Genomic DNA, 10,428 nt, shown 5'->3' on the forward strand with positions numbered 1-10,428 from the left:
TGCTTTTTAATATAGCTATATGGCTTTTATTTTGAGACGGTGTCTCACTTTGTTGCCTAGGCTGGAGTGCAGTGGTGTGATCTTGGCTCACTGCAACCTCCACCTTCCAGGTTCAAGCGATTCTCCTGTCTCAGCCTCCCAAGTATCTGGGATTGTAGGCCCCTGCTAGCACATCTGGCTAATTTTTGTATTTTTAGTACAGACGGGATTTCATCATGTTGGCCAGGCTGGTCTCGAACTACTAACCTCAGGTGATCCACCTGCCTCAGCCTCCCAAAGTGCTGCAATTATAGGTGTGAGCCACCACACGCGGCCAAATACAGCTTAATATAGTGACACACAACTAGGAAATAGATGGAACCAGGATTCAAACACCCGTCCTTCTGATGTGAAATTTTGTGACTCAGAAGAGGGAAGTCAGACCCAACCTGGAGAGCCCACTCCCATGCCTGCCTGCAGCTGTCCCAGCTGTGCCTTTAGAGGGTGGGCTGACCTCACTCTGTCATCAGCAGCACCAGCAAGCACCAGAGGGGTGAGTGTCTCTGGGAGCACTCAAAATCATCCACCAAGAAAAGATCAGGCCTTCTATAGTATTTTTTTCTATTTCATCTCTTTTCCCCGCTCTTTTTTTTTTTTTTTTTTTTTTAAGACAGGGTGTGCCTCTGTTGCCCAGGCTGGAGTGCAGCAGTGATGTAATCATAACTCACCGAAGCCTTGAACTCCTGGGTTCAAGCCTTCCTCCCACTTTAGCCTCCTGAGTAGCTAGGACAACAGGTGCGTGCCACTATATCTGGCTAATTTCTTATTTTATTTATTTATTTAGACAGAATCTCACTTTGTCGCCTAGGCTAGAGTGCAGTGGCCCAATCTTAGCTCACTGCAATGCAATCTCTTTTTCCCAGGCTCAAGTGATTCTTTTGCCTCAGCCTACTGAGTATCTGGGATTATATGCATGTGCCACCACGCCCAGCTTTTTTTTTTTTTTTTTTTTTGAGATGGAGTCTCACTCTGTGGCCCAGGTTGGAGGGCAGTGGTGCAATCTCGGCTCACTGCAACCTCTGCCTCCTGGGTTCAAGAGATTCTCCTGCCCCAGCCTCCCAAGTAGCTGGGATTACAGGCACACGCCACCATGCCCAGCTAATTTTTGTATTTTTAGTAGAGATGGGGTTTTGCCATGTTGGCCAGGCTGGTCTCGAATCCCTGACCTCAGGTGATTCGCCTGCCTCAGCATCCCAAAGTGCTTGGATTGCAGGTGCGTGCCACTGCTCCCGGCCTAATTTTTGTATTTTTAGGAGAGACTGGGCTTCACCGTATTGGCCAGGCTGGGCTTGAACTCCTCGCCTCCAGTGATCCACCCACCTCAGCCTCCCAAAGTACTGGGATTACAGGCATGAGACACTGTGCCCAGCCTATTTCATCTTTTTAAAATTTCTTTTGCATAGATGTTTGTAACATAGATATTATAACAGTAGAGTATGTATATATTTTGTAAATATATAAATGTATGTATGCTAGAAATATGAGCTCAAAGATTGTTTCCTCTTAGGGATGTATCATCACAAAAATTTGGAGATCATTTCTTAAGACAGCAAAGACAAAGATTAAAAACAATTATTATAGGATATTTACATGTGAAAGAATAAAGTTGGACCTGGCACCATGTAAAAACAAAATGAACTCAAAATGGATAAAAGAAACACAGGGGTAAATCTTTATGACCTTAAATTTGGCAATTCTTAGTTATGTCACCAAATGCACAAACAACACAAGAAAACAATAGATATATTGGACTTCATTTAAATTTAAAACTTTTGGCTGGGTGCAGTGGCTCATGCCTGTAATCCCAGCATTTTGTGAGGCTAAGCAGGAGGGTTGCTTAAACTCAGGAGTTTGAGACCAGCCTGGGCAACATAGTAAGACCTCGTCTCTACATAAAATAACAAAATTTAGCTGGGTGGTGGCACGAGCCTGGAGTCCTAGGTACTTGGAAGGCTAAGGCTGGAGGATGGCTTGAACTCAGGAGTTCGAGGCTGTAGTGAGCTATGATTGTGCCACTGCACTCCAGCATGGGTGACAGAGCGAGACCCTGTCTCAAAATAAATAAATGAATAGATAAATAAAAATAAAAACTTGGGCATCAAAAGGCACTATCAAGAAAGTGAGGCCAGGTGTGGTGGCTCACGCCTATAATCCCAACATTTTGGGACGCCAAGGCAGGCGAATCACTTGAGGTCAGGAGTTCGAGACCAGCCTGGCCAACATGGTAAAACCCCATCTCTATTAAAAATACAAAAAATTAGCTTAGAGTGGTGGTGGGCGCCTGTAGTCCCAGCTACTCGGGAGGCTGAGGTGGGAGAATCGCTGGAACCTGGGAAGTGGAGGTTGCTGTGAGCTAAGATTGTGCCACTGCACTCCAGTCTGGGCAACAGAGCGAGACTGTCTCAAAAAAAAAAAAAAAAAAAGTGAAAAGGGCTGGGTGCAGTGGCTGACACCTGTAACACCTGTAATCTCAGCACTTTGGGAGGCTGAGGTGGGCGGATCACTTGAGGTCAGGAGTTTGAGAACAGCCTGGCCAACATGGTGAAACCCTATCTCTACAAAAAAAAAAAAAAATACAAAAATTAGCCAGGCATGGTGGCGTGTGCCTGTAGTCCCAGCTACTTGGGAGGCTGAGGCAGGAGGACTTGAGCCCAGGGAGGTCGAGGCTACAGTGAGCTGTGATCAAGCCACTATACTCCAGCCTGGGCAATAAAGTGCGACTCTTTCTCAAAAAATAAATTAATAAATAAGTACAAATAGGCAAAGGACTTGAATAGATATTTCTTCAAAGAAAATACATAAATAGCCAATAAGCTCGTGAAAAGATATTCATCTTGAGCCATTAGTGAAATGCAAGGCAAAGCCACAATGAGATATCATTCCACACCTACTACCACAGCTATGAATAAATAAATAAATGGAAAATGACAAGTGTTGGCAAGAATGTGGAGAAATTGGAGCTTTCTGTACGTTGCTGGTGTGAGCGTAAAATGGTGTGGCACTGTGGAAAACCGTTCGATGGTATCTCAAAAAGTAAAACAGAATTATCATATGACCCAGATCCTAGGCATATACCCAAAATAATTAAAAACAGGTATTCAGACAAAAACATGCATGATCATAGCAGCACCATTCACGACTGCCAAAAGATTGAAACAACCCAAATGTCCATCAAGTGATGAATGGGTAAACAAGATGTAGTATACCCATGCAAGGGAATACTATTTAGCCGTTAAAAGGAATGAAATAGGACACATGCTACAACATGGATAAACCTGAGGGACATCATCCTAAATGAAAAAAACCAGGCTGAGCTCAGGGGTGCATTTTGCCGGCCTTAATCCCAGCACTTTGGGAGGCCAAGCCAGATAGATCGCTTGAATCCAGTAGTTTGAGATCAGCCTGGACAACATGGAGAAACCCTATCTCTATCAAAAATACAAAAAAATTAGTTGGGTGTGGTGGCGGACACCTGTGGTCTCAGCTACTTGGGAGGCTGAGGCAGGAGGATCGCTTGAGCCCGGGAGGTGGAGGTTGCAGTGAGCTGAGATCGCGCCACTGCACTCCAACCTGGGTGACAGAGTGAGAGCTCATCTAAAAAAAAAAAAAAAAAAGAAGGAAAAGAAAAAAGCCAGATGAAAAAGGTCACATACTGATTCCATTTCTATGAAATGCTATAATTCCATTTCTATGAAATATCTAAAATAGGTAAATCTGTAGAGACAGAAAGCAGGTTAGTGATTGCCAGGGGCGGGGGGAATAAGGAAGGAGAAGTAATTGCTTACTGGATATGATGTTAGAAGTTTGCCTTTAGGGTGATGAAAACGTTGTAAATATACTAAATGCAACTGAAATGCAAGCTTTAAAATAGTTAACTTCAATAAAACAAAAATAATTATCATAAAATAAATACATGATCATAGTAAGAAAATATCTTTTTTCAAACAGCACAGAATGGTACTAAGTGACTTCTCTCCATGCTCTATTTCCACTCTTCAAAGGAAATAAAGGATACTACAATTTATGATGTTTTTTCCCCAAATTTATTCCATACAGATAGAAATGTGCGATATGTGTATACATGTTTGTGTGTAGATATTTCCTTTTCCTCTTATGCAAATGAGATCATATTCCATTCAATGTACTGCCTTTTTCTCTTGGCAATGTGTCAATTACCATTCCATATCAATACAGTTTTCTTAATGGCTTCGTAATATGGGCTTCCCATACTCCCTGTCTCTTCATCTTCAGACCTGAGGGCCCCACTGTTTCCCTCCAAGTTCTGAGTCCCAACGCCATCCTGCCTCGGACTTGTCAGTGACTTTGACCTCAATCGTTGCTCCTTCACGTGGCATTGTCAGGAGTCTCTAATATCCAGCAGGTGCCTGGCCCCATGGGCTTTATAAAAATGGCAGCTCCCTTCTTCTGCACCCTGTGCTATGCTAGGGCCAGCTGGGGGTACCATAGAATAATGCCCGAGGGTGTAGACTCCCTGTCTTACCAGCCGTATGACCTCAGGCAAGTGCCCTAACCTCTCTGAGCCTCAGTTTCCTCCGTTGCATTGAGGCTATTCACAGTCCCGTACAATGATGCTCACACAGCGCTGAGCCCAGGGCCCAGCTCGGAGCCAGTCGGCATCACGTGATCTTTCGGGAAGAAAAGGTGGGCAGAGCCCTGGGTCGGTGGCCACCTGCTTTTGGGTAGGGCACTAATACAGGGTGCTGAAGCGGGAAGGTGAGGCCGAGCTGGGCGGCCCTGGGAACCCGGGAAGGAGGCGAGGCTGGAGTGGAAACGATTAGAATGAGAGCAAACTGGCTCCTGAATAGAAGCTTTTATTCCTGCCGGAGAGGGCTTTGTTCCACAAACACGTGACACACAAAAGCCTCTACTTGAATTCGGGAACCCTAATTGGTTCTCAGGTGGGGGAGGAGAGGGGTGTCCGGATTTAGGGATTCCTTAAAGGGACAATACTGTGGGGAGCTGAGCCCAGGGTTCCTCCCCATTGTCAGTGGGAGGGGGTGGCGTGGAGGGGAGGGGATGGGGTAGAGGGGAGGGGAAGAGCTGGACCAGTGGGGGTGGGGCGGCTGTTAGAAGAGGAGGGGGAGGGGAGAGGAAGGGAGAAGGGAAGAGGGAGAGAAGCACAGAGAGACTCAGAGGCCTGCAGCCCCCTGGGCCAGTGCTTGAGAAACAGTAGGCATGGACGGAGGGAAAGAAGGAAGGACGGAGGGAAGGAAGGAAGAGAGGAAGGAGGGGAGGAAGGAAGGAGGGGAGGGAAGGAAGGAAGGTAGGAAGGGAGAGAGGAAGGAGGGAGGGAGGGAAGGAGAGGAGGAAGGAAGGGAGAGAGGAAGGAGGGAGGGAGGGAAGGAGAGGAGGAAGGAAGGAAGAGAGGGAGGAGGGGAGGAAGGAAGGAGAGAAAGAAGGAAGGAAGGTAGGAAGGCAGGGAAAAAGGGGAGGAAGGGGGGAAGGAAGAAAGGAAGGAGAGAGAGAAAAGAAGGAAGGGAGGAACGGAGGGAGGGAAGGGAGGAAGAAAAAGAGGAAGGAAAGAAGGAAGGAAGGAAGGAGCCTGGCGCGGTGGCTCACACCTGTAATCCCAGCACTTTGGGAGGCTGAGGTGGGCAGATCACTTGAGGTCAGGAGTTCGAGACCAGCCTGGCCAACATGGTGAAACCCCGTCTCTACTAAAAACACAAAAATTAGCCAGATGTGGTGGTAGGTGCTTGTAATCCCAGCTACTTAGGAGACTGAGGCAGGAGAATTGCTTGAACCCGGGAGGCAGAGGTTAGAGTGAGCTGAGATGGTGCCAGAACAAGACTCTGTCTCTTTTTTTTTTTTTTTTTTTTTTTTGAGGCGGAGTCTCGCTCTGTCGCCCAGGCTGGAGTGCAGTGGCATGATCTTGGCTCACTGCAACTGCTGCCTCCCAGGTTCAAGTGATTCTCCTGCTTCAGTCTCCCAAGTAGGTGGGATTACAGGCACCCACCACCACACCCAGCTAATTTTTGTATTTTTACTAGAGACAGGGTTTCACCATGTTGGCCAGGTTGGTCTCAAACTCTCCTGACCTCATCTCAGGTGATCCACTTGCCTCGGCCTCCCCAAGTACTGGGAGTACAGGCGTGAGCCACTATGCCTGGCTGAGACTCTGTCTCAAAAAAAAAAAAAAAAAAAAAGGACAGAGGAAGGAGAGAAGGAAAGGGAGGGAAGAGGGAAGAAGGAGGGAAGGAAGGAAAGGAGAGGGGGGAGGAAGGAACAAGAGAAGGAAGGAAGGAGGGAAGGAAAGTAGGAAGAGAGAGAGAGATTGAGGGAGGAAGTAAGAAAAAAAGGATGGGAGGGAAGGAGAAGGAAAGGAAGGAAGGGAAGAAAAAAGAGAAGGAAGGCAGGAAGGGAGGGAGGGAAGAAAGGAAGGAGGAGGAGGAAGGGAAGGAAGGAAGGGAGGGAGAGAAGAAGGAAAGGAAGAGGGAGGAAGGGAAGGAAGGAGTTCTTAGGATGTCCCTTAAGGCCCTTCCTCCCTCTCCAGCCTGGCCCATCCCACTCTCACTCTCCCTCCCAGTGCTCCAGCCACACTGGCTGCCTTTCAGTTCCTGAGATACCCCAAACTAAGTCCTACCTCAGGACCTTTGCACCTGCTCTCCCGCCTACCTGGAATGCTTCCCACTTACCTGCCCCCCTCTTCCCATGGCAATCCTGCAGTTCAAGTATCACCTATACAGAAGAAGTCTTCCTAGACCCCCAGGCCTCTAGCCTATCACCCTGTTTTACTGTCCTCAAGCCCTTAACACTCACAGACATTGATGGAAAATGGCGATTGTGCTCAGCTCTATCCCCTGCCCTCAGCACAATGCTTAACACACAGCAGAAGATCAAAAGATACCTGAGACTATCTGGCTGGCTGAGTGGAAAGGGAGCAGTGGCTGCAATAATGCCCATCCTTTCCTGGCTCCAGAGCCATTGTTCTTAGGGTTAGCTGAGCTCAAGCCTCCCTTTGAAACTTTCTAGCCGTGTGGCCTTGGGCAAGTCACTTTGTCTCTGACTTCATTTTCCTTTTTAAAAAATTATTATTATATTTATTTATTTATTTATTTTGAGACAGAGTCTCATTCACTCTGTGGCCCAGTCTCATTCACTCTGAGTGCAGTGGGCTTCCCAGGTTCAAGAGATTCTCCTGCCTCAGCCTCCCAACTAGCTGGGATTACAGGCGTGTGTCATCACACCTAACTAATTTTTTTTTTTTTGAGATGGCATTTCGCTATTGTTGCCCCAGCTAGAGGGCAATGGTGTGATCTTGGCTCACGGCAACCTCTGCCTCCTGGGTTCCAGTGATGCTCCTGCCTCAGCCTCCTGAGCAGCTGGGATTACAGGCATGCACCACCACGCTTGGCTAATTTTTTTTTTTGTATGTTTAGTAGAGATGGGGTTTCTCCATGTTGGTCAGGCTGGTCTCGAACTCCTTACCTCAGGTGATCTGCCTGCCTCAGCCTCCCAAAGTGCTGGGATTACAGGCAGGTGTGAGTCACTGCGCCCGGCCTTTTTTTTTTTTAAACAGAGTCTCGCTCTGTCGCCAGGCTGGAGTGCAGTGGCACGATCTTGGCTCACTGCAACTTCTGACTTCCCGGTTCAAGCGATTCTCCTGCCTCAGCCTCCCGAGTAGCTAGGATTACAGGCATGTGCCACCACGCCCAGCTAATTTTTGTATTTTTAGTAGAGACGGGGTTTCACCATGTTGACCAGGATGGTCTCGATCTCCTGACCTTGTGATCGGCCCGCCTCGGCCTCCCAAAGTTCTGGGGTTACAGGTGTGAGCCACTGTGCCTGGCTCTAATTTTTTAATATTTTTAGTAGAGATGGGGTTTCACCATGTTGGCCAGGCTGGTCTTGAACTCCTGACCTCAAGAGATCAGCTTGCCTTGCCCTCCCAAAGTTCTGTGATTACAGTCATGAGCCACCAAATCTGGCCTAAAAATCATTATTTTTTATTTTAAAAAATTTTGTTTGTAGAGATGATGTCTCACCATGTTGCCCAGGCTGATCTTGCACTCCTGGGCTTAAGCCATCCTCCCACCTCAGCCTCCCAAAGTGTTGGTATTAGAGCCGCAAGCCACCACGCTCAGCCTTAACATTTTGAATATATAATTTTGTTGAAGAAACAGGGTCTTGCTACATTGCTCAGGCTGATCTCAAACTCCTGGCCTCAAGTGATCCTCCTGCCTAGGTCTTCCAAAGTGCTAGGATTATTGGCCAGGCGCAGTGACTCACACCTGTAATCCCAGCACTTTGGGAGGCCGAGGTGGGCAGATGACCTGAGGTCAGGAGTTCAAGACCAGTCTGGCCAACGTGGCGAAACCCCATCTCTACAAAATTACAAAAATTAGCTGGGCGTGGTGGCAGGTGCCTGTAATCCCAGCTACTTGGGAGGCTGAGATAGGAGAATCACTTGAACCCGGGAGGCAGAGGTTGCAGTGAGCCGAGATTGTGCCACTGCACTCCAGCCTGGGCGACAGAACAAGACTCTGCCTCAAACAAACAAACAAACAAACAAACAAAAAAGTGCTGGGATTATAGGCATGAGCCACTGCACCACCGGGCCCCTTTTCTTTAAAAAGCACAGAACTGGCAGGGAGCGGTGGCTCACCCCGTAATCCCAGCACTTTGGGAAGCCGAGGCGGGTGGATCACGAGGTCAGGAGATCAAGACCATCCTGGCTAACACAGTGAAATGCTGTCTCTACTAAAAAAATACAAAAAATTAGCTGTGTGTGATGGCAGGTGCCTGTAGTCCCAGCTACTTGGGAGGCTGAGGCAGGAGAATGGCATGAACCCGGGAGGTGGAGCTTGCAGTGAGCCGAGATCGCACCGCTGCACTCCAGCCTGGGCGACAGAGTGAGACTCCATCTCAAAAAAAAAAAAAGAAAGCACAGAACTTACCTCACAAGGGCATTGACAGGATGGCAGAGAGAACAAGCACTGAGCGGGTGCATGATGGGGACCTGGGGAACATTAGCCACGCGGGTAGAAAGGCAGTGGGTATTTCTACAGAAGAGGAAGGACTCCCATTCCCTGAGCCCCAACTCTGTGGCAGACGCTCTCATATGATATTTTAAGAAATACCTGTAAACAACTTTTGAAGCAGGTTTTGATCATCCCCATTTACAGAAGAGAAAACAGCCTCAGAGAGGTTAAGAGACTTCCTCTGGATCACACAGCTAGTAAGCAGCAGAGCCAGGATTCGAACCCAGCTCTACCCTCTATCTCATCCCAAAGACTATGTTCTGCCTACTCTGATCCAAGTGCCCTCTTGGACTTCCAGTGCAAGGAGGCTGTGGGAAGGGGAAGGAAGGGCTTAGGACCCTGAGGGACCTGCAAGGCTGGGGCTGCCCCTGTACCCTCCATTAGCATTCAGCCTGGGCCCTCATTATATGAGTAGGTAGAGTCCTGAGTTCTGGACTATGGGCTCCATGCTTCAGTGAGTTATCTTATTTTATTTATTTTCGTGACAAGTTTTTGCTCTGTCACCCAGGGTGGAATGCGGTGGCAGGATCGCAGCTTACTGAAGCCTCAGCCTCCCAGGCTCAAGCGATCTTCCCACCTCAACCTCCCAAGTAGCTGGGACCACAGGCACGCACCACCACACCTGGATAATTTATTTTATTTTATTTTTATGTTTTGAGACAGAGTCTTGCTCTGTTGCCCGGGATGGAATGCGGTGGGGCAATCTTGGCTCACTGCAACCTCCACCTCCCGAGTTCAAGCGATTCTCATGCCTCAGCCTCCTGAGTTGCTGGGATTACAGGCGTGTGCCACCACGCCCAGCTCATTTTTGTATTGTTAGTAGAGACAAGGTTTTGCCATGTTGGCCAGGCTGGTCTGAAACTCAAGTGATCCTCCTGCCTTGGCCTCCCAAAGTGCTAGGATTACAGGCATGAGCCACTGCGCCTGGCCCAGTTACTTATTTTAGAAGTTATATTTGAGCACCTATTCTGTGCCGAGCCCTGGCATGAGCTGTGAACAGGCCATATCTATCCTAGATGTGCACTAATGGGGCTTTGGAGGGTGGCAACAGGAGGCCCGGTGAAATCCCCGGTGAGAGCAGCCTTTTCGCCGTGGCCTGCCGTGAAGCACTATGGCAGCACCCACACCTGCCAGGACTGAAGGTATTGTCGGGCCCTCTCCTGCTCCCAGCTGCAGCCAAGGCCGTGTGTACAGGGCCCTTTAAGTAGTCTGTGCCCTCCCTAATTAACCAGCTAAAGAAAGAGCTGGCTTGAAATGGGATTGTGCAGACCCAGCTTTGGGACCCGAGGACGCCGGATCGGGGATTGTTATGCTAATCGCCTGAGATCAGCAGTTCCCGTGCCCTTCAGATGGCAGGTAGCGAGGCCGGGCTCTGCCCAGCGGCTGT

This window comes from Homo sapiens, chromosome 12, assembly GCF_000001405.40.
Source record: "Homo sapiens chromosome 12, GRCh38.p14 Primary Assembly".
NCBI lineage: Eukaryota > Metazoa > Chordata > Mammalia > Primates > Hominidae > Homo > Homo sapiens.